This window comes from Homo sapiens, chromosome 1 (assembly GCF_000001405.40).
Source record: "Homo sapiens chromosome 1, GRCh38.p14 Primary Assembly".
Taxonomy (NCBI): domain Eukaryota; kingdom Metazoa; phylum Chordata; class Mammalia; order Primates; family Hominidae; genus Homo; species Homo sapiens.
In genome coordinates this window covers 74,519,182-74,543,166 of record NC_000001.11, presented here as the reverse complement: position 1 = coordinate 74,543,166, position 23,985 = coordinate 74,519,182, and the positions used below count along the sequence as shown (strand labels likewise).

Sequence of the window (23,985 nt, the reverse complement as noted above, 5' to 3'; positions counted from 1 at the left end):
AGAAGCAGAGGTTGCAGTGAGCCGAGATCGCACCACCGCACTCCAGCCTAGCAACAGAGCAAGACTCCATCTCAAAAAAAAAAAAAAAAAAAAAAAAAAAAAGGGAAAAAGAAAAAGAAAAGGAAAAGGAAAGAGCCTTTCTTTCTCAAACCAGATGGCTTTGTTTGTTTCTTCTCCCTGGTAGCCCAAATTTTAAAGGTACATAAAATTCTTAGGTCTAAATACCAGTGGCATTTGATGCCCTTTGAAGCAATAGCCTTGGATGTGTCCAGAGAATTAAACTAGTGGCTCAGGATCAGGCCACTGTCCAAGAGAACCACAGAGCTATGTACAGGGAAGCAGTTTTCTTTTCACTCTGAAGCAAGAAAGCCATTCATTGCTTCATGAAAGTGAGCACATTTGTCAATAGCTATTGCTGCTTTTGCTCCCCTTTGATAGCTGAGTTTTCATAACCAACCCAGTCATCTACATTTTCATTAAGACATCTAGCAGTATGCAGTTGGATCGAAATATTTATTTTCATAAGAAAGGTCTCTTGTCAAAATATCTTAGGTAGCACATAAACTCTCTTAAGAGAAAATGCCACTGATAGTGATACTCCTGTCAACTGGTCTCTCTCACTCACCTCTTTTGGGACTGGCTCTGGTCAGATGTGAGGAAGGTTATGATGGGGGAGGATGAGATGAGGGGCAGTAGGATACATATCAGCAGATCTAAATTCTGTGTAGACTAAAACAAAATCTACCTTCTACAGCAAAATATTTACTGTATCCAGGCTAAAAATGAGACTTCATTTCAGGCATAGGTAGATGCTTCCATAAGCTTGTAATACTTTTATGACCATAATCAGCTTTCTAACATACCACATGCAATTTTACTGGCCTGTGATGTTCCAGTGCCTCTTGCCCCACAGGACTCCAATGGAAATTTGATTGTGGACATATGTCCCCAAAGGGTGGGTGGGCTCTACCCTCAGGAATGATCAGCAAAATCAGTAAGGCATTGAGGCTAGCATTTATTATTGATGTCATTATTGCCAGAAGGTAAGAACAGATGTGTCAGATTGTGGACCCACTCAGTTTAAGAAGAACTCAACTGAAATTTGACCATAGGTTTTAGGAAAAGACTGAACCAAGTCTGAATGTTTTGTTACTTTAAGGTAAAAGGTCTCAAGTACAGAGAAAACAGCTATGTGTTTCATTTTATCTCCATTTTCGAGCTCTGCTCTTTGGCGGCAAAGCAGGGGGAGAAGAAGCTCATAAAATTGTTGTTATATTGCGATCAGTTTATGAAATAGAATAAAGGGCAATTAAAGCGTTCTTTCTTGTATGATGTGATGCTCCTAATGGGAGATATCGAATGTATCTTCTTTGTTTATAGGTACTCTCACTCCATCCAAACACCCTCCATGTTTTCTTTCATCCCTGAGACAGGTATGCATAGGAAAACCCAAATTTTGCATTATTACATCACATTTCTCTTACTTCTCCATCTTGGGGGAATTCTTCTTTAAGAAACAAATTAAGTTAAAGAAATGCTTCATCTTGAAACCTTACCACAAAAGGGAAGACTTCTGGTCAAAGCAAATGTTTCAAAGGATGCCCTATGTTTTGTGTTTATGAAGTTACATCTGTAAAGGTTTGAAGAAAAGATATTATGTCTATTAAAAAAATGTGAGGATGTGACACTTGGAGTGCATTTTCCCCCTCAAAAGGATCTGTTACTGGACTGGCCAATTATGTTGTAAAACTGATGATAAAAAGCACTCATCTGCATTCTAGATATGTATTGGGAGTCAGAAGCACAAAATTTCCCTTTTTTAAATGTGCCCAAATAGTTTGTTTGCATCTATTCAGAACATACATTTTTCTTTGTTTCTTAAAAGGTTTCTAATGCCTTAGGTAATGAGTCTCTGCAGATGAGGTGAATTGGTGAGGATCCCAAAGCCGAGGGTCTCCCAGGTCTATTGCCCCCTACCCAGGCTCACTTCATCTAATTTATTCTTTCCCAAACCCAGCTCTTATAATAAATCTGATCTCTTTAACTGACAGATACTTTTTCAGTCCTTCAAATAGTCAAAGGAAGTTGCAATGGATAAATGGGCCCATTGTGCTAAAATTCCAATTAAACATAGTGCCTCTCAGGCTTAAAGGTTGGTAAAAGGACATCCCAGCCCTAACACATTGATATCGCAGCTGATGATAAAGGCAATTGTCCATCCTCTGGCTTCCAGAGGCCTGAAAAAAACTTTGTTAATTATTTCAAAGAGCTTTATTAATTCTTTCTGAAGAAGTCCTGTGTAAAATGGTTCCCATCAAACTGTCCCCTCACTGCCTCTCCAGCTGTTTGAAGGAATGGCTGGATTTGCATTTTACCCTTGAGTGCTTGGCTAAAAGGGGAACAGCTCTCCCAACATATTAGGTAATTGTGAAAATTCATCTCTTGTTTTTCCTCTCCCTACCCACACACACTTAATGTGGGGCTTAGAAGCAACGGACTTAATAAAATGTTGACAAAGTATTCGGAATATCATGAGAGGAAGGAGTTTTTTTTTTTTTTTAAAAAAAGAGTTGTACTTTTTTCTATGTACACAAACACATACAGGCACTCACACATAATCACACATATACTTACACACTCATGCACACTCACACATGCTCACACAGACATTATTAACCTTAAAGGTAAATGAGTTATAAAAGACATATAAAATCAAATTTTATACTTTTATATTTTTAAAGCATCTGTCATTTTGGATATTACAATATGCAATGCTTTCTCCCTTTTTGTCAAATAGACATCACCTTCCTAGGGGTAGTTTTCTTAACAAACCTAAAGAATCTGCCTACTTACCATATTTGTCAATGGGTGTGTATTGAAGACTTCTTTTCATCTCCTCCAAAGACAGACCTTGAGAGGAATATTGTCCAGCACTGGAAAATTAATAAAACACAGTTTCACAGTATGGTGATCTGATAATAACATTTTTATAAACACAGAATTTTTCCACTCAACATAGATCCCAGAGAAATGGCAAAGTGATACAAAGCAGCTTTTATCTTAACAGTAACTAGTTGGGGAAGAGTTCAGAATTATTTGGTTTAAGTCATATCCAAGTGTGAGTCCTGGCTCTTAAGCATAGGTTACAATTTCTAGCGGTATAACCTTGGGTATGCCATCCTTTCTGAGCCTCAGTTTATTTACCTGTAAAATAGGAAAAGAACATAAATAATTTCCAGTTTGTGCTTGTAATCCTTACTAAAAAGAACTAAAACAAGAACATTATTATCTTAGTAATAATATAAATAAAACACATCCCAAGAAGTATTATTATTATATTATTTTTATGATAATAAGATATAGTGATAATATTCATTGCATGATTCTTTTCTGTTTTTATATATATCGCTTTACATATAATATAATATCATTTCCTTATTTTATAGATAACAAAACTGACACTGGAACAATTAAGTAACTTGTCATGCAGGTTTGCTAACAGCTCATCCAGGATTCAAATCCTCATCTTTTAGATTCCAAAGCTGATGTGTTTATCTACTATCAAATATGAATTTCCTAATGATTCCTACTCTGTATTGATCCTTCTCCTTTCTCAAACTCCTCCTTCTCTTTTGCCGATTTGGTAAATGGGGTCACTTCCTTCCCAGTTCATCTGACTCAAAACCTGAATTTATCAAAATCTTCATCCTAGCATCTAACTACATCAGTCAGTTAATTGTATATCTATAATCTCTCTAGCATCCATTCATCATTTGTCATTCTCAAAGCAACTACCCTAGTTCCCCCCAGAACTTCACCATGACTGTAGAAGAACTCTTAATTCTCCCAGCACCCAAGCCAGTTCTTTCCATTTCAGTTACCAGTATTACATCGTTCAGTTACCTTGAGCCAAAATTATTGGAGTCCTCCTTGGTAATAGCTTCTTTCCCTCACATTTCTCACTCAATTCAAGTCCTTTTAGCTCTGCCTCCAAAATATAATCCTAAACTATCCATCTCTCTCCAGCCTCAAGGCCTAGACGAATCTTTTCCTCTTTGGGCTTTTGCAGTTTGCCATCTAATTGATCTTCCTGCTTTCACTTCTGTCTCTATATAGTCCATTCTTTGTATATTATCTAGGGTGATCTTTTCAAAATATAAACAGATTACATCATTCACCTACTTAAAACTTTTCAATTGCTTCCCAGTTCATTTGGAATAAAATACAAATGCTCTACCTATAAGGTTCTGGTCCTTCCTACTTCTCAAACTTCAACCCATACCCTTCTCCACATCTTTTGCTAAATGCTTCTTCTTTTTGGCATTCTTTCTGTCTCTTGAACCCTCCAAGCTCTTTCCCAATTCAGAGCTTCTGCATTTGTTAACGCTGCTTGCAATGCTCTTCTTAATAAACGCAAATCCCCTTTTGCTGAACACTTGCCCTGCCTTCATCTATGACTGCCTCCTCTGCAATTTAGGCCTCAGTTCAGGCCTGAATGGCAGAGGAGCCAAGAATAGATCCTGACCACCATTCTGAGTGACTATTCCTCTGCCCATGGCCACTCTCTATCACATCACATCGCCTTATTTCCTTCTTTCAGAACTATAGAAAATTATCTTGTTTATTTATCTGTTTACTTATACACCCTCCATATTCTTTCCACACAATGAGGGTGGGGAATTGTTTCTCTTGTTCCCTGCTATATCTTCAACACTCAGAACAGTGCCTGGTACATAAGAGAAGCTTAAAAAAGAGTTTTTGGAGCATTTAATAGAATTAATAGATCCTTAAATGACATTCTACCCCCCAGTCATTCAATACTCCCCCCAAAGGGTCTTATTATAATAAAAGCCTTACCACAGCATTCCCCTGCAATTCCCCAAGCCGATATACCAAGTCCTCTATAGCCCTACTTGGGTCTCTGTGTCTTGTATTCTACAATTCCTCAACTATTTTTTTACCCAAGTTCAAGCCAGACTAAAAAACTGAATTTTGCAAACATTCCTCAATTTTCTTTTCTCTATGACTATGGCTGAGCACTCTCAACTGCTTGAATATGCCTATTTATCCCTGGCAGGAAGCAGTATAGTGCTACGGTTAAGAATGAGCATTTTAGTGCCAGACTCCTTGAATTTGAATCCTGACACCATCACTTACTATCTTGGCAAGTTATTTAACTATTCCATACCTCAGTGATACAACTATAAAATGGGAATTATAACAAGACTTAGCTTATAAAGTTAATCATGAGAATTAAAAGAGTTAATAAATTTAAAGCACTTTGAACATTGCTGAAATTTAGTAAGCACTCAATAAAGGTCCAACTCAAAGTTGGCATCTTCCTTGAAGCCCTCTTGAAAACTCCCAGTCAGCACTAACCTCTTCCTCTTCCATACCCCTCTAGAACGTGATAATTCTATCACAGTACCCATCAGAATCTGCCTTAGGGTAGAATTATCTGTATTTGTATGCTAGTGAACCTCATTACACAGATAGCTCCTGGAGGTCAGAGATTATGTCTGACATCTTTAGATTCCCCACAGGGGTTAGCCAGTACTCTGCAAATACTTAAAATAAAAGTATGTATGTTAAATTAAATAAAATTAAATTATTACAAAATGTTCATTTGGAGACATCAGTTTTTCCTGAAAGCTAACATCAGTTCACACTGATTAATTCTTTCTACCTGCCTTAAAAATGACTGCATCTTTGGCCTCACTTCCTTAAGCTATAGAGTAGAGATGTTGTTTTTTAGAAGAAAGCAATACTTAAGAAGAAGACAAAGTATTGGCTTAAATGGGACATAATGTTTTCTCAATCAACAATAAATATGGCAATAGAATATCACTCAAGACATTTTTCAAAATACAATTTCCCTTATTAATATACCTAACTTCTTTAGAACTCTATCTCCTTTTAAGAAATGTACTATACAAAGTAGTCTTGGCAACACAAGATAATAGGAAATAAATATTTTATCACCAAAATGGCTATCTGGTTTCTTCTGAATAAAAGCTCATATCCAAGCTGCTCTGTTTGTTCAGTTGCTAAATGCAATCCATGTCAAACGACTTAACCTTTTTGCCCAAGAGATACCACATAGGCTGGCTCCAGATGCTGTTCTAGGATGACAGACAGATGGAAGCTACCCATGCCAGGTCAAACAAAACAGAAGAAACCAGACCCTGATCAATGGAACTAGCTGTTTCCACCCATGTGCATCCAGACTTCAGCAAGCATTTCACAGATGCCCGGATTTAGAAGATTCATCAGGACCTCTATTTGCTGAAATTGTGGTCAGTGAAAATACAGTGATGCAGCTGCCTCAGGAATTCAACAAAAGTAAATGCAAGCTAATGACAGGTAAGGAAAGCACTCAATTTTGCAAGTATTTCAACATTGCTGGTCAACTAGGTAGTCTTCTTTATGCTAAAAAGATGATGATATATATCATAGATAGCCATATATATGAATTATTAGCTCCTATATGGGTAATTTTGTGGATGTAAAATGAAATTTTATTTTATGAAAAGAGAATAACATAGTCTTTAGGTTAGTTTTTGCATACTACCATGTTATATTAGTATATATTATTTTAGTGCTAATTCAAATTAGCTCCATGATGTATACATAAATATAAAAATGATCATCAGTCACCGTTTTTATAAAGGTGCATTAGGATATGAATAATTTATTAAAATTAAGAACAGAAACAAATTTTTAAAAAATATTTTTACTAATTAATTCATGCTTTAGGGGTATAGATGTCCTAGTGAACATCTGCCAATTAGACCAGTTCACACTCAAATCCACAATATGTAAACTGTATTTTGGAGTGTGCATGCCATTTAGGCCATGGCTTGTCAGAACAAACTAGCCTGTTTGCAAATGGTCACATTGTCTGTGAATGAATTAATGCACCCTAGGTAAAGACATGAACCAGGGCATTTAAAACTAATGACAGAAGAGCTAAGAAGAATGGGAAAAGTGCTAGAAGATAATATATGCAAATATAGACTCAACTCCCCAAAGCAGGAGTAAGACAGCCTACAAACTAGGCTAGTGAGTTAATGTACATTATAGGCAAAGCTTCAGAAAGGAATGATTTAAACAGAAGTTTTCTGCACTCTTAGAAAAACACTGATTACTAGGAGCTACCATGGATACATTAAGAAAAGAAAATCATTCTAGATTTACTTTATTATTTTTTTGATGAAGATAAATAATAAGGGGAAATCAATAGGCTAGAACATACAGCTGGATTCTAGCACAGTGTTGGACAGAATTACTCCTGACTGCTTTGTAAGTAAGAAGGGGAGATCTGTTCCAGATGACGAGTGGTTAGATTCAATTGTGACTGACTGAATATCGACAACTGACACAGTCTTCAAATGGTGAAGGTATTTCATATAGATGACATTCCCACAGAGTTAAGTTGAACCTTAGACATCAACAATAATTAAAACAAAATGCTGCATTTCCTAAGATTAGAACTGTCCAAAAATAGATTGAATTGTTCTAGTAGGGGATACTGTTCCATCCCTGGAAGTCTGTAAGCTAAGGACTGAAGCACCTCTTGGCTCCAGGTGCTGTAGAGGGATCCAGGAACCTACCTGGAGGTCACAAGATGTGACAAGTGACGTCCCAGATTCCTCCATTTCTTACATTCTGTGATTCTTTTTTTGTTTGTTTGATTTGAGACACGGTCCCTCTCAGTCACCCAGGCTGGATTGCAGTGATGCAATCTCGGCTCACTGCAATCTTCACCTCCCACACTCAAACAATTCTTGTGTGTCAGCATAAGAGTAGCTGGGATTACAGGCATGTGCCACCATGCCTGGCTAATTTTTTGTATTTTTAGTAGAGATGGGGCTTCATCATGTTGGTCAGGCTGGTGTCGAACTCCTGTTGATCCACCCACCTCGACCTCCCAAAGTGCTTGGATTACAGGTGTGAGCCACAGAATTCTATGATTCTTTATAAGGCATTCATGAATCATGCAGACTTTGAGAAGCTAGCTTTGGCATGTTGGAAAGGCAGAGTGAAATTACACAGTCCTCATTTAGGCAGGAGATTTTTAGCTTCCTTATCTGACGTGTCCAACATTTGGCCAGGGCTGAATGCCTGATTTTTACATACATGCCACAGCATATCTGGCTATACGTTACCACTGCTACTCAGTGTGCTGTTAGTAGCTTTTGTCTAAATACATTTCATTTGAAATGGTAACTGAAACGTGCTATATGCCTGAAGGAACCATTGCATTTAGTGCTCCATTTCAAAGGAGGAACTACATTTCCATTTAAGATGAAGCAGAGGAAACTGTAGAGAAACCACTTTCACATAAACCCATCGTTAAGGATTTGAATGACAGGTTGTATAAGGCTGGCACTAGGAAATCCAGAACTGCTAAACAAGAATTCTTATATAAAAGAAATCTGTAGAATATTCATGTTGCAATGCTTACAAGATAGAGGAGATACTCCTAAAACTCTATGTAATTTAATCCAAAGAGATATATTGTTAAGCAAGTCCCAAGAAGAAATACGAAAAATAATGTCTGAAGAGACTGGGAGATTCTGGTGCCATCTCTCTAGTGTGGTGGGACCAGGCAGTGTCATAATGAATCCAAATGGCCCCATTTAGAGCCTTAAAAACAGACAGTGTTGTGGCTTCCAAACTACAGCCTGCCAAATGTTTTTGGTATTGGAGCAATGAATCATGGTTTTGGCTTTGGGATTTCATGAATTCTCAGAATATTTGCTAGTGCCACAATTGCTTCTGACTGAATTGCATTCCAAAGAAGACTTCAGATGGGTATGCAGTCCAAAAGGAATCATTTTTTTAAAATCACATTCTTCTGAGCGTGGCTTTTGCAAACTTGGGAACTTTGATTTGGTGAATTATAACAGACGTATACTATTTTACATGGCTTGAAAGTTAAGAGTGAAATTAAAACAATTACAGAGAATTGTTTTAAATAAAGAGACCCAGAACATTACGTTCTACTATGATATAATAATAATAATTGCTTATACTTGCAGAAGGCTTTATAGCTTTCATATACTTTTCTATCGATTAGCTTGTAACATTTTTATAAAACCCCTGTGGGGTGTCTGGGAAGGAATTAATTTCACCGGCGTTTTGGGGATGCAAAGTCAGGCTCAGAAAGTTCGAATGACTTGCAGAAACTCACAGAGCTAGCCAGAGGCAGAAACTGAACTTGAACAAAAGTTTTTCAGACTTTCATTCCATACTCTTTCTACTAAAACACACTCCATTTAATAATAGCACATGTCTTCTCATTGTTCAATTCCCACCTATGAGTGAGAACATGCGGTGTTTGGTTTTTTGTCCTTGTGATAGTTTACTGAGAATGATGATTTCCAATTTCATCCATGTCCCTACAAAGGACATGAACTCATCATTTTTTATGGCTGCATAGTATTCCATGGTGTATATGTGCCACATTTTCTTAATCCAGTCTATCATTGTTGGACATTTGGGTTGGTTCCAAGTCTTTGCTATTGTGAATAGTGCCACAATAAACATATGTGTGCATGTGTCTTTATAGCAGCATGATTTATAGTCCTTTGGGTATATACCCAGTAATAGGATGGCTGGGTCAAATGGTATTTCTAGTTCTAGATCCCTGAGGAATCACCACACTGACTTCCACAATGGTTGAACTAGTTTACAGTCCCACCAACAGTGTAAAAGTGTTCCTATTTCTCCACATCCTCTCCAGCACCTGATGTTTCCTGACATTTTAATGATCGCCATTCTAACTGGTGTGAGATGGTATGTCATTGTGGTTTTGATTTGCATTTCTCTGATGGCCAGTGATGGTGAGCATTTTTTCATGTGTTTTTTGGCTGCATAAATGTCTTCTTTTGAGAAGTGTCTGTTCATGTCCTTTGCCCACTTTTTGATGGGGATGTTTGTTTTTTTCTTGTAAATTTGAGTTCATTGTAGATTCTGGATATTAGCCCTTTGTCAGATGAGTAGGTTGCGAAAATTTTCTCCCATTTTGTAGGTTGCCTGTTCACTCTGACGGTACTTTCTTTTGCTGTGCAGAAGCTCTTTAGTTTAATTAGATCCCATTTGTCAATTTTGGCTTTTGTTGCCATTGCTTTTGGTGTTTTGGACATGAAGTCCTTGCCCATGCCTATGTCCTGAATGGTAATGCCTAGGTTTTATTCTAGGGCTTTTATGGTTTTAGGTCTAGCGTTTAAGTCTTTAATCCATCTTGAATTAATTTTTGTATCAGGTGTGAGGAAGGGATCCAGTTTCAGCTTTCTACATATGGCTAGCCAGTTTTCCCAGCACCATTTATTAAATAGGGAATCCTTTCCCCATTGCTTGTTTTTCTCAGGTTTGTCAAAGATCAGATAGTTGTAGATATGCAGCATTATTTCTGAGGGCTCTGTTCTGTTCCATTGATCTATATCTCTGTTTTGGTACCAGTACCATGCTGTTTTGGACACATGGACACAGGGAGGGGAACATCACACTCTGGGGACTGCTGTGGGGTGGGGCGAGGGGGGAGGGATAGCATTAGGAGATATACCTAATGCTAAATGACGAGTTATTGGGTGCAGCACACCAGCATGGCACATGTATGCATATGTAACTAACCTGCACATTGTGCACATGTACCCTAAAACTTAAAGTATAATAATAATAAAATAAAAAGAAAAAAAAGAAAAAAATAATAATAGCACGTGTCAAACTATTGTTCAGTTACCATTTCAGGAGCTCATTGAATTACAGAGCTGATAATAAGTTAAAGGGTTTTGGATTATTTGCACATAAAGATGAACGCTAAATTCTTCTTAGAGAAACATCCCTTATAATCAGAGCAAAATCAGAATCAGCTTTCTCATGTTTGCTTCATCTTTAAAAAAATGATACTTTCCTTTATCCAACAATTGCTTGCTGTTACCTTGCTATGATGCTAAAACATGAGATACACATGCACTAAACTTTCTAAATGAGAAATTTATTATTCCTCTCAACCCTCTGATCTTGTGTAAAATTTTTTAAGCTGCATGCATGGATTCATCTTCCTAAACACAGCCTGGGCTATGTTGAGCAGAAAACCATTAGGTTATCAGTGTGATTAAAGACTTCAGGCAACATTTTCTTCCATTCAAATTGGTCCAATTAGTTTTTATGCAGCTAACAATGCCCTCAGGCTACCTGTACTCTGGATGATTTAGCCATTTGGATTTTTAATAAGGCAACACCATTTAAGGCCTCACAAGTTTGCAAACATGTTTTGTGGTTTATTGCCGTCTGTCATAACAATGTTACCTATGTGATAATATTAGCACAAGGATCAATGCCATATGCACACTTATCCCCTTCTTCAAGAGGAATATCTCTAACTTAGAAGTTATCTCTTATACTCAAAAGGAAACACATACAATAATACTTAAACAGAATTTCAGTTATTTGCCCCAATCTAAGGAACTAATACAAAGAAAAGGTGGAGAAACAGCTTGCTGAAATGCCTAATAAAGGTGTTTACACTAGGATAATAAATCTCTTGCCATAGAAAAGGCTACTAGAGTCATCTGGCTCATCCTTTTGGCATTTAGCTGAAAACAGATCTATTTAAAACAGATCTGTCAGACGGGGTAAATGCCTTTCTATGCTTTGCAGTGTCTTCCCATGCAGCCCACCTTTCCTCTTAGCCCACCTTTCCTCTGGCCTAAAGAGTAAGATGATATTTCTATTAGAGACAGGAATTTACTTGGCCTAACTTTGAAATGGTCCAGTCAGACTCTTATGAATGGCCATTTGCTAATTTATCAGTTAAGTTCAATATGTTTATTTATTCATGGTTTCATCCTGGCTGTTTTCAAAGCATTATTTTGTTTTTGTCAATATTTCCTACTTGACAATGTCCTAAATTGAAACAAATTTATTGCTCCCATTACAGAGAATGGGCAAGTGCCAAAGCATTTAATGGGGCCAGAGGTTAGTGCAAAATATCTCTTTCAGGAATATCAAACCCATCAGTTTTCTTTCAATGGCAAATGTCCCCAGGCTATAAAAGAACTGAAAGACTTGGCAACCAGGTCATGGTTCTGCTTGAGCCATTAGGCAAATATCCAAGGTCTCAGCTTCCCCCATTTTTAAAGGAAAAAGCAATTAGGCAAAGAATTATGAATAAGGAAAAATGCAGTGAGAACTTAAAGTGTGTATTAATTCCTTGATGGCTCATAAATTATTAATAGGCTCAACAGTAACCTAACAACACTACCACCTCTCAATTTACCTACTAATTTAAGCAGGTATAAATGAGTCAGCTGAGCAAACCATTAAGAGGCAGACTTTGCATGCCTTGACTGCTAAAACTGAGGAACATACTCTATAGCAAAATCTTTCATATCCCTCACCTTCTATACTATCATCCAGGAAAAAAAAAAAAAAAACTTTTTGAGTTCTTGGTAGCATGACAGTGATAAGGCCCACTCCTCACTTCCTCATTTTCCCACCTACCATCTTACCAAGAAGGAAACTGAGGCCTTGAGAATTGAAATAACCTATCCCAGTTCATATAGCAAGGTTGTAGTGAAATCAAGACTATAACCTAGAATTCTGATCTTCTAGTTCTATTTGATGATTTTTATTTTTATTTTTAAGGACAGTGGGAAAACAAAATTGTTTCATACCTGCTAAGCGCCAGGGACTCTACTCGATACTTTACAAAACTTACAAAATTTGCCCCACCTAACAACTCATTTTATATATGAGGAAACCAAGGCTCAGAGAGACTATGTCTTACCCAAGATAACCCAGTTGTAATTCAAACCTAAGCCAGGCAGTTATTAAGTCTTTCTCAACTTAAACCTGTTGGCTCTAGAAGTGATTCTCAAAGTTATGGCTATATCCCTATCTCTCTTCCTTTTTCCATGGCTTTTTATCAAGCACAATGCCAGGAGCTGTGCTATATATTAGGAATACAGACATGAGTGTGATGGATATAGACCCTACCCTCTGGGGTAAATAGAAACGTAGACACCTAACGGCTGGCACAGTGGCTCATGCTTGTAATCCCAGCACTTTGGGAGGCCAAGGCAGTAGGATCTCTTGAGGCCAGGAGGTAGAGGTTGCAGTGAGCTGTGATCCTACCACTGTTCTCCAGGCTGGGTGACAGATTAAGACCCTGCCTCAAAACAAGGAAAAAAACCCATAGGCATGTACAGGTAAACTTCAACACAGGAGAAAGGACATGCTCTAAGGACACTCTCCCTAAGCAGAGAAAATGAAGAACAAGCCCTGGTTCACAAGGGGTGGGGTCATCCAGGGAGAGAGCAAAGCAGGGGCATGTGCAAAGACTTTGGAATCAAATGGCTGAAGTGAATATATGAACTTTCTTAAAAAAACTTTTCATTTAAAAACTATCTTAAACATAAAGAAAAGTTGCCACAATTATACAGTGTTTATTCTTCTGAAGCATTTGAGATAAGTTGACAATCTAATGCCCATCATCTCCCAAATACTTTAGTGTATTTCCAAAATAAAGACATCCTCCTACATAACCAAAATACAATCATTTGATTCTTCCATCTACTCTCAGACGCCATTCAAGTTTTGCCAATTATCTCAATAACGCTTTTTATAGCAAAAGAATCTAATTCAGAATCACATGCAGCACTGAATTGTCATGTTTCTTTATTTTCTTTCTGTCTGAAATGGTCTCTCCATCTCTACTTGAATTTCCTAACCGTGACATTTTTGAGGATGACAAGCCAGTAATTTTGCAAAATGTCCTTCAATTTGGTTTTATCAGAGGTTTCCTAATGATTAGATTCAAATTATGCATCTTTGGAGGGCAGTATCACAGAAGGGATGTTGTTTCTTTCATTGTGTCCCATCACATTTTGATTTGTCCCATTATTGTGTTGTTAATTTTGATTACTTGATTGAGTGATGTCTGATAGGCTTCTACACTATAAAATTACTCTTTTTCTCTTTGTAATTAATAAGTATTTTGTGAGGAGGTATTTTGAGACTATATAAATATTCTGCATCTCAGCCAAATTTTATTTACTTCTATCATTTATTTATATCTATATGAACTTATAGTTACAATATTATTGATGTCACTGTCATCATTTATTTTATACTCAAATTAACTCATAGTTGACCACCTGGGGTGCCTTCAATGTATTCCTTTGTTATGTCACCATCTTTCTTTGTATCTTTCTCCTTTCTGGTGCAAGATGTTTCAGGCTTATTTTCTTGTTTTGTACCTTCCTTGTGTCAGCCTTAAAGTCTGTCATTTCTTCAAGTGCCTTGTTTCCTTTTGGTAAATAATAGTATTTGGAAATGAGGATCAAGGTGCCAGGTGTGTTCCTGCAGTTGAAGTGCCGCTCCTCCCAGGTGCTTTCATTTAGCAGAAACAGCTAGAGCATATGCATGAGCATACATAGGTGTGTAAACACATTAAGACTTTGCTCTGTCAAAGCATAAGTTTCCAGCAACATCTCCAGTTCCAAACCAACCAACAGAGTTGACTCTAGTTTTCATTCTCTCCATATTCACACCATTCTCTGACAGTGAGAAACCTAGCTCCCATTATCCTAAATATATTTACTTATTTGATCATTGTCCCTGAATGTACAAATCTCCCATTGCTGTTGTACCCTTTCCCCACTCCAACACACACACAAATATCCTCCTTTACCCACGGGGGCTCCAATATCCCACACCCATGCAGAAGGCTTCCTCACTCTCATGTGTTCTGACACCTACCCGCCTATTCCCCACCTGCCTGCCCCAAGTGGGTCCGCTCCTCACTTACCTGGGGATCCAGCACTCAGCACTGTACTATGTCCCTATGCCATGCCCTCCTCACCCTGCTCAGGCTCCAGCCCCTTGCACTGGGCTGCCTGCCCACACGTACACCTTCTTCACCACCCTTATGCTCCAACTTCCTTCCACCAGGCACTTTCCTGTGCCCATGTCCTTCTTAGCCTGCATGGAACCACAGTGGCACTACTCTGTAGGATGTCCTGCTTACCATTCTTGGGCTCTGGCCTTACTTGAGCCACTATTCTCTCCACCCTTCTCATACATAACGTTCTTCCTGGGCTTCGATTCTGATCTCCTCTGTCAGGGTACTCTCCCACGTGACTACCTTATTTACCATACTTAAGCACTACCACCTTGGCCGGGCAGCCCCAACCTCCTGTGGAAACCCTTTCCTTCTCCCACTTTTGTTCTGACACCCTCTGCCAGGCAGTGCCACCCACCACTCCCATCCACCACATAGACATTCTCCACACCTTACTTGGACTCTGACATTCTGCTCCATATCCATTGGGGAAGTCCACCTTACTCAGCCCTGTCCAATGGTTTTGGACTAAATCATTCATGAAGGGAAGGGAAGAGATAAAACAGTAACAATGGTGAAATTTTTAAAATGCTAATCAGATTATGTCACCTCCCTGATTCCAATCCCTCAGTGGCTGCCCAACACATGTAGATCAACACCCTAACACCCTGTCCTGGCTGATAAAGCCCTCATGACCTGGCCTCTACCTCCTTCTGGAACTTCATCTTGTCCCTGTCTGCCCTGTCTCCCCTCCCTATCCACCATAGTGGCTTTCTGGTTCTCCTTTTTTGCTCATGCCTTATAAATCCCACATCTGCTTTTTAGCTCTGCTGAATGCATTTCTCAGAGTCTCCTTACGGCAGACTTGTTTTTGTCATTTACCACTCCATCTAATCTTGTGTTTCCTATTTTCTACTATGCCTTGTTTCTCAGTAAGTATGGATTAAAGAAATGATTGATTGAATGAATGAATGATGTTTCCTCCTCTGCAATTTTATTCATGTTTATCTTTGTCTGTTTACTCTGATTCTTTTTAACAAAGTTTGTGGTCATTGGTGAACCTCCTTTCATTTCTTTAGCCACTGCTCAAGGATGAGCCTTATGAGTCTCCGTGTGCCTGGCACTTCACACAGCACCTGGCACGGGCTAGTAAAACTGTTTACAGTGACCTGAAGGTAGCCTTCATATTTTTCCACTAGGAGATGGATTTCCAATGTATACAGTTTTGGGGCTACGTGACTTGAACAAATATAGATTTTTATGCTTTTAGAGCAGGCAGGGATCAGCAAACTTTTCCTGTAAAGGACCAGACAGTAAATATTTTAGGCTTTGTGGACCATATGGTCTCTTGCAACTACTCAACTCTGCTGTTTCAGTGCAAACACAGACATAGATAATATGTAAACAAATGAGTGTGGCTGTATTCCAATAAAACTTTACAGAAACAAGCAGGCAGTTGGATTTACCCATGAGCTGTAGTTTACCAATCTCTTCTTTAGAGTGTCAGATAAGTCCTATACGTGTTGCTCTCCTAAGCTGCCTTCTCCCTTTGGGCCAAACAATGATATCTCAGTGAATGTAGGATCTCCATTCATCTTAGATTTTCATAGCTTCTCCTAGGAGAGGAATGTTAAAGACTAAAATGCATGAGCTAATGGAAAACAGAAAAAAATATCCAATTTATATTTATTTAGTGTTTACCACATATTAGACATGTAGAAATTGCATTCTCACGTCACCTTCATTGCAACCTAATGAAGAAGATGATATTCTTATTTTCATCCTATAGCTGAGAAATTTGAGACTTGGAGAGCTCAACTAACTTGGCCAAAGTCACAGGTTATAAGAACCGTAGAACTTGAATTTGAACTCAGGTCCATCTGAGCCCAAGCTTTTAATCACTACTTTATACTCAATGGCCACTGGGTAGTTACATAAATAAAAATCACAAAACCAATTTTATTGATGGAAGATAAAAGCAGCAACTAGATTGGAGCCCACAGAGCAATACATATTCTTTTCCCCTTTTGGATTGAGGAAAGTTCAAAGGCCATCTTTGTTGATTTTAGATCTCTGGGCTCCTTTGTGTGAATTCACATCCCTGCAAGAAATTCCATGTTCCTTTGTTCTTTATGACAAGCCAGTCTGCATGGGAAGGTTTTAAAACTCCCTAAACTCTTTGAACATGCAGAACATTGATCTTCACAAACCATTTGAAATACCCTAAGGAGGTTACAAAATTACAAGCACTGTTTTTTTTGTTTTGTTTTAAGCGAATGTATACCAAACCTCTGGGACCCTTTGCCTCATCACACAACACCAAAGCTTTCCTCTCCTCCTCTGTGTATTCTTTGCTGTCAGACCCTGAATAACAAAATGATATTATGTAGCTGGGGTGCCTTGCTCTCATTGAAAACCTCTTCTCTTGCCAGTAATGTGGGGGTTCTTACCCCACTCTGGTGTGATGTGCTGTGATGCCTCTTTGAATCCTGGGGCAACCCAGGTTTTGACATTTCCTGCTGGGCCAACTGCTGCTCCCGGCTTCTGTATTGACAAGACCATGACTGTGGATGCTGTAAGAAGTTCTCTGTGGCCTTGTGCACATCCAGGCCTCCATGGTCATATTTATATTGGTTATTTATTAAGCTTTGATATGTGGCACACCAGAAGCACACTCCTTCAGACTAGGAGCCATGCTTTGTTACTTATCTCTGTAGCCTTGGCATTTGGGCACAGAGTTTACTTGCAACACTTATTTTAAAAATAAATTTGGTTGAACTGAGCTCCTGGTCATTTCTTCAGCCTCATCTCTCAGATTCAATGTTCTATGCAGTTGGCCAAGTGGTCAGGGACTCAGGGTGTGAATCAGACTGAGCTAGTTTTCAGTCTGGGCACCTCTACTTCCTAGCTGCTGTCCTTAAGCAAAATTTTTTACCTTCCTGTGCCTCACATTCCTTTTTTGTACCATGAGGACAATAACAATACTTATCACACATGTAGGTATTTGTGAGAATTATATGAGATGGTATACACGCAAAGCGCTTAGAAGAATCCCTAACACACAGGAGGTGCTCAGTATTAGCTACCTTATTATTGTTATTATTCTTATTCTCATTTATGCCTGCTGCATTCTTTCCTTCCCCTCTTCCACTGAATAATGCTACTTATCTTTCAGGCCTCAGCTTCTCTCTCCCCAATACTTGGTTAAGTGCCCTCTTTAGTATGTTTTTTATCACACTGAAGAATCTCATCTTTCATTCTTTGTCTCTTTCCCCAGTGTCCAGCTCATAGCCCATGCTAAGTAAAATACTTACTATATAATTGAATGCATAGAAAGTAGGTATAAAAAAGCAAATTAATTGGCTACCTCTCTTTCCAGCCCCAAAGTACCTCAGCCAGAGCAATCCTTTTAGAAACAATCCTAATGATGTTACCTCTCTGCCCAAACCCCTGCAGTGGCATGCATCTCAATCATAGTAAATCTCCAAGTCCTACCAGTGGCCTGTCCCCCTTCATGAGGCAGCCCCTTTACTTCCTTTCTTTTTCATTTTTTTTTTTTACTTTTTTAAAAAGTTGCCTGTCACTCTTCTCACATTAGAATAAAACCTCCACGAGGGAAGAGATTATTTTCTGTGTTTTATTTGCTGCTGTATCTCCAGAACCTAAAAGTAAAAGCTTTGGGTATTTGCTAAGTGAATGAATACATTAGATTAAAGTATGCCCATTGCTCTTAGAACCAAGAAAAATGACAAATCTTTTATGAGCATCATTCCAGAAGAGATTTATGTGACTTTTTCCTAATGCATTTTCCTGTGCAATTTTTTAATAGGGAGAAGTTGTGTGGAGATTCCACAGTTAGTCACCAGTTGGCCCTACATACTCTAGCTGTGGCCACAGCCAGTGAAACTCCACAGCAGCCCTGGAGTCCGCACAGTGTCAGGTGCAGAAGACTTGCACTTTGCTATCTAATGGGCCAAGCCCCCTCTGTTTCTGGCAGGCCCACAGAGCTATTCACTTTGCATGTTACCATAACCATCTGAATGGGGCAGAGATCAGGCTGTTAAAATTCCCAACAGACTCTTCAGAATGCCTCTAAATACTTCTGATGGTAATTGCTACATGGTTACTCTGTGTTTTAAAGACTTTTCACAAAGAAGAATTCACTGGAGCCTTTGTGGGCACTGCCACAAATACTACTGGACTGTGTTTGTGGCTGGCCACAGTTAGGCTCTTGACAAATGTCAATGCTTTGCAAAAACAATTTTTGGTGAAAGCAACAACTCCACATTCAGTCATGCCTTTGGAATTGTGGCTTGATGGAATTGCCTTGTTCTCCATATGGGCACAGGGAGTGGAATATCACACACTGGGGCCTGTCGGGGGTGGGGGGAAAGGGGAGGGATAGCATTAGGAGAAATGTTTAATGTAGATGACAGATTAATGGGTGCAGCAAACCACCATGGCACATGTATACCTATGTAACAAACCTGCACGTTCTGCACATGTATCCCAGAACTTAAGTATAATTTTAAAAAAAGAAAACCACATGCCACAGGGCACTGTTTCCCCAAGACCAAAGAAAACCTCAAAGTTGTATTAGCAATTACCAACAAATAGGTATTGATCACCTACTGCATACCAGACCAGACACTGCCAACTCTCAGGGCCTGGCATACAGTAGGAGCTCAACCTCTGCAAAGCTAGACTCATGAAGAGGGCAGAGCTGAAGTCTAAATATTCACCGAAATTACTATAAGCAGCTAATGGCCAGGCATAGCCTATAACTTTGAGGCCTTTTTTTTTAAGTGAGTCTCTTTCTCTTTCTCTCTTTCTTGTTGTTGCTTTTGGGCATTTCAAAAGAAAATTAAAAAAAAGAAAAATCTTATACATCAGCCAAGTATGTTTGAATACACAAACACAATAAAGGAAAAAAAATTGCTTGTTCTCTTAGATATGTGTATAGAAAAACACAAATATCATGCTCAAAATTTGATGATACATGTCTTTAGAAATCCACTATGAGGTATCAAGTGAGATAATGTCTATAGATGTGTTTTTTGAAATCATAGGTGTTAGAAAATTTATTTCACATACAATTCCTTATTTAATCTTCCCAGCAACTGTGTGGTATCGGTATTATTATATATATTGTTTTCTTGAAGAAACTGAGGGCAAATTGGTCAGGCAACTTGCCTCAGGTCACCTGGCCTGTAAGAGGGAAGAGAGGAATCAGACAGAACCTATACTGAAGCTCACTGCTTTTCTGCTCCACAACATGGCTGTATTACAGAAACCTTGTGATCTGCTGTAGTGAATGCATGGGGTTTCCCCTCTCATTAGTAATTTGGATTCTTCAATTTCCAGTGGGCAGTTGGGCTTGGAGTTAGAAGTGTAGGCTTCTGATCATGAACCTACTGAAGCTTTGGATCACGCAGTGCTGGATTTTATGTGTTCACAGTTTAATCTTGAATTCCTTCTACAGGTAAAGTTTCCATAAAGCCAGGGGCTAAGGTAAAAAGACTACAGATTTTCAACCTAAGAAATACACCAGTTTTAATCCAGATTTGAATCAAATGATCAATATTCCAATCAGAAAATGAATCATGTTATTCTGGGATTGCTTCCTGGGGCATTTCTCTCTTTCTCTTTCTCTCTCTCTCTCTCACACACACACACACATACACCTTAGGGACCAGAAAAACAGCTACTTACATTTTGGGAATATGCAGGAAAAAGACAGATTCTCTCTTTTTCATGCTACTTTTTAAATGTATAATACCCTCAGGAGTAGGTCTTCTATACTGCGTGGGGAGAATTAGTCATGCAACTCGTACTACAAGTATTCCCCAAGCACCATTCTGGAAGTGTACTCCTTGGTCTACCTTTTAATATGAGACACCAAGCTGAAAGGAAATCCTGTCTAGGGAACGGGTAATCTGAGCTGCTGCAGGTTCCCATAGGAATGCTAGGAACTCACTGCCTTTATTTATGCACATTTGCGGCAGCTGCATCCTTTGGATTCTGGCTCTTAGCAAGTACAAGCAGCAGCTCCAAGAGCAGATCTGTCCTAAATGTCTCTCTTTGAAGCCCCTGAGTCTATAACCTTGTATTTGTGTCTGGCCCTGATTCATCAAGGGTCTGAATGCTTCACCTGCTATATTAAGTTTCCAATAGTGCCTGAACCAGATTTTTTTTAAAAAGAACAATCCCTGGCCAGCGAATCAGCATGAGAGAATTGGAAAAGTGATAAGGCAGATAGTAATTACTGTCTGTCATCTATCACTGGAAGGGATGTTGATATATCTCCCTCATCTGAATTTTTTTTACTCTACCTGGATCTCAGTTACCTGTTTAGAAGATTAACAACAGTTGGATGCAGCCCCAGAATCACTCTGGGCTTTTGAGTAGTTATGATTCATAGCAGAAATGGCATTATGAATAGACCAGCACAGGCTTTAAAGAAATTCTGACTTATTCTCAGGGATCAAAACACTTAACATTTCAGTAGAAATAGCAAGAAACATTCACTCACCCATTTATTCATTCATGTATTCATTTATGAGACCCTGTGCCCTTCTTATCATAAATTTATCACGCTTTGCTGAAATGGCTTGTTCACCAACTCTGCGAGAATAGCGACTAGGGCTGTCTTGCTGATCACTGTGACCTCCATGCTAGGAATATAGTGCGTCTTTACCAATCATTTGCTAAATAAAGGAACGCAGAAAAAGGCTTTATGGAAATAGTAGCATTTAATTTTGACTGCATATATGTATATATAGGTGTATATATATATATACACATACACACATACATAATGCGTTTACATGTGTGTGTGTGTGAGAGAGATAAGGTAAGGATTTATTGCATTAGAATACATATTTCATAAAATAGTTAACATTTATTGAACAGTAACTATGTGCCAGGTATTGTTTTAAGTGACTTACATAGTTTGTTTCATTTAATCCTCATAATAACCATGAAGTAAGTATCATTATTATGCCTGTTTTATAGATTAGGAAGCAAAGAGCAACTAGAAAGAAGTTAATGAGCTTGGGCAAGATCGCACAGAGAAAATGGCAGTGCCACAATGTGAACCCAGCCAGTCCTACTGGGAGCACATGCTCCTTATAACTACAATACACAACCTCCAAATATATCCTAATTTCAGCTCTACAAACTTCTGTGGTGATGGAGAGAGGACATTATCTAAAAATATTCTGAAGTTGAAGCTGTTGCCCAAAGGAGAAATAGCTGTAAGAACACTCTGTCCAGTCAGGGCAACCAGAGCAGAGAAGGTGGATCTGTGCTCCCACAGATAGGACCCCTACACTGCCACAGGGACCCTGTGGACTATTCAATCTTCCCTTCACCTCTGCTCCCATGTCACCACTATTCACAACTGTGCAAATTAAAGCTCCAAGCAATCCTCCCCAAGATGAGCCAGCTCCATATGTACCTTCCAGATCTAAATTTCATAAGGGGCTTCTTAGCCCTGTTACACCCACCCCAGCTGCAACCCACATGTTGCAACTCAAAGGGGACTGTTTTCTTTATCACCGCCACATAGACCAAGTCCCAAATACCACATAGTATGCCCCAGGCCTCCCTTCCTTCTCTTTTGTTCTCAGTGTCTTAAAAATGGAAGCAGACCATACAGTTAATATTTAAAGAAGGATTGATTTTTCCCATTTTTTTTTTGAAGTTGTGAGACAAAAATTTTGGTGTTTTGCCAAAAATTTTGGAAAGGGAGGAAGGAAAAGGTCAAAAGAGACAAGCAAGGACTGAGGGAAAAAGAGCCAGAGGCAGAAGAGGTAACAGGGAAACAGATGGATGGATGGGCCTCAGAAATGAGAAGGTCGATTTCTCCATCCAAGGAGAAGAGAGGAGAATCCATGGAGTCACAGAGAGACTGGAGGGGCTGAGGAAGAAAGGTGGTGGAACTCACGCGAAGTAGTCTCAAATTCTTCAGAAAAGTCGGAAGCGAGGTCACTTCAATTCTGTACGTGTATTTAAATGCCATATCTTAAAATTTCACACTCAAGATTCCAGTTGAGTCAATTTTTTGAAAAACTGAATTATCATTTATAATCAAGGTATATGAGGATGCACATGCATAAGAATGACACTATGGACTTTGTGGAATCGGGGAAAGGGTGGAAAGGGGGTATGGGATAAAAGACTACAAATTGGGTTCAGCATATACTGCTCAGGTGATGGGTGCTCCAAAATCTCACAAATCACCATTAAAGAACTTACTCATGCAACCAAATACCACCTGTTCCCCAAAAACTTATGGAAATAAAAAATTAAATACATAAATGAGCTTGGGCAAGATCCCACAGAGAAAATGGCAGTATCCAAAGGAGAAATAGCTGTAAGAACATGCTGTCCAGTCAGGGCATCCAGAGCAGAGAAGGTGGATCTGTGCTCCCACAGATAGGACACCCACACTGCCACAGGGACCCTGTGGACTATTCAATCTTCCCTTCACCTCTGAATGACACACATTATAAACTTAAAGCTTTGGCTTGACTATAACATATCTTCATTATAGGTACTTGTCCTCACATTAGAAAAATTTCATGTATAAAATGTAATTTTCTTTTAAAGATATATTCTGTGGGGTTATTTTGTAAGACTATTTACTTTATAAAAAAGATTCTTAGAAGTTTTTATCTCTATTCTGGCTTTCTTATGATTTTAGTTTAAAAATCAATTCAAAAATTACACTTTTAAAGTAAGGCAATCATTAAAAAGTCAGGAAACAACAGGTGCTGGAGAGGATGCGGAGAAATAGGAACACTTTTACACTGTTGGTGGGACTGTAAACTAGTTCAACCATTGTGGAAGTCAGTGTGGCGATTCCTCAGGGATCTAGAACTAGAAATACCATTTGACCCAGCCATCCCATTACTGGGTATATACCCAAATGAGTATAAATCATGCTGCTATAAAGACACATGCACACGTATGTTTATTGCGGCACTATTCACAATAGCAAAGACTTAGAACCAACCCAAATGTCCAACAATGATAGACTGGATTAAGAAAATGTGGCACATATACACCATGGAATACTATGCAGCCATAAAATATGATGAGTTCATATCCTTTGTAGGGACATGGATGAA

General features: G+C 38.7%; 3 protein-coding genes across 4 annotated transcripts in view, besides 1 other annotated feature; 1 reads left to right on the top strand and 2 right to left on the bottom strand.

Moving 5' to 3' along the window:
• FPGT-TNNI3K (FPGT-TNNI3K readthrough) overlaps positions 1-23,985 on the bottom strand; it is a 346,187-nt gene that overhangs the window by 1,262 nt on the left and 320,940 nt on the right. Inside the window, exon 26 of the mRNA NM_001112808.3 lies at positions 2,854-2,933. Coding sequence (NP_001106279.3) covers positions 2,854-2,933 — 80 coding nt within the window. The remainder of the gene's footprint in view (positions 1-2,853; positions 2,934-23,985) is intronic.
• TNNI3K (TNNI3 interacting kinase) overlaps positions 1-23,985 on the bottom strand; it is a 309,042-nt gene that overhangs the window by 1,262 nt on the left and 283,795 nt on the right. Inside the window, exon 24 of the mRNA NM_015978.3 lies at positions 2,854-2,933. Within this exon, the coding sequence (NP_057062.1) occupies positions 2,854-2,933 (80 nt within the window). The remainder of the gene's footprint in view (positions 1-2,853; positions 2,934-23,985) is intronic.
• The window catches only part of LRRC53 (leucine rich repeat containing 53), a 67,704-nt gene continuing 49,806 nt past the window's right edge, over positions 6,088-23,985 (top strand). For both annotated transcript variants that reach the window (XM_011542512.4, XM_017003081.2), the window contains exon 1: positions 6,088-6,363. In XM_011542512.4, coding sequence (XP_011540814.2) covers positions 6,315-6,363 — 49 coding nt within the window. In that variant the 5' untranslated portion in view covers positions 6,088-6,314. The remainder of the gene's footprint in view (positions 6,364-23,985) is intronic.
• Positions 13,904-14,638: an enhancer, noted in NCBI's record as "NANOG-H3K27ac hESC enhancer chr1:74994213-74994947 (GRCh37/hg19 assembly coordinates)". NCBI's record gives its function as "activates a minimal SCP1, AML or CMV promoter by ChIP-STARR-seq in naive H9 embryonic stem cells {active_cell/tissue: H9 hESC(naive)}" and the evidence as "EXISTENCE:reporter gene assay evidence [ECO:0000049][PMID:30033119]".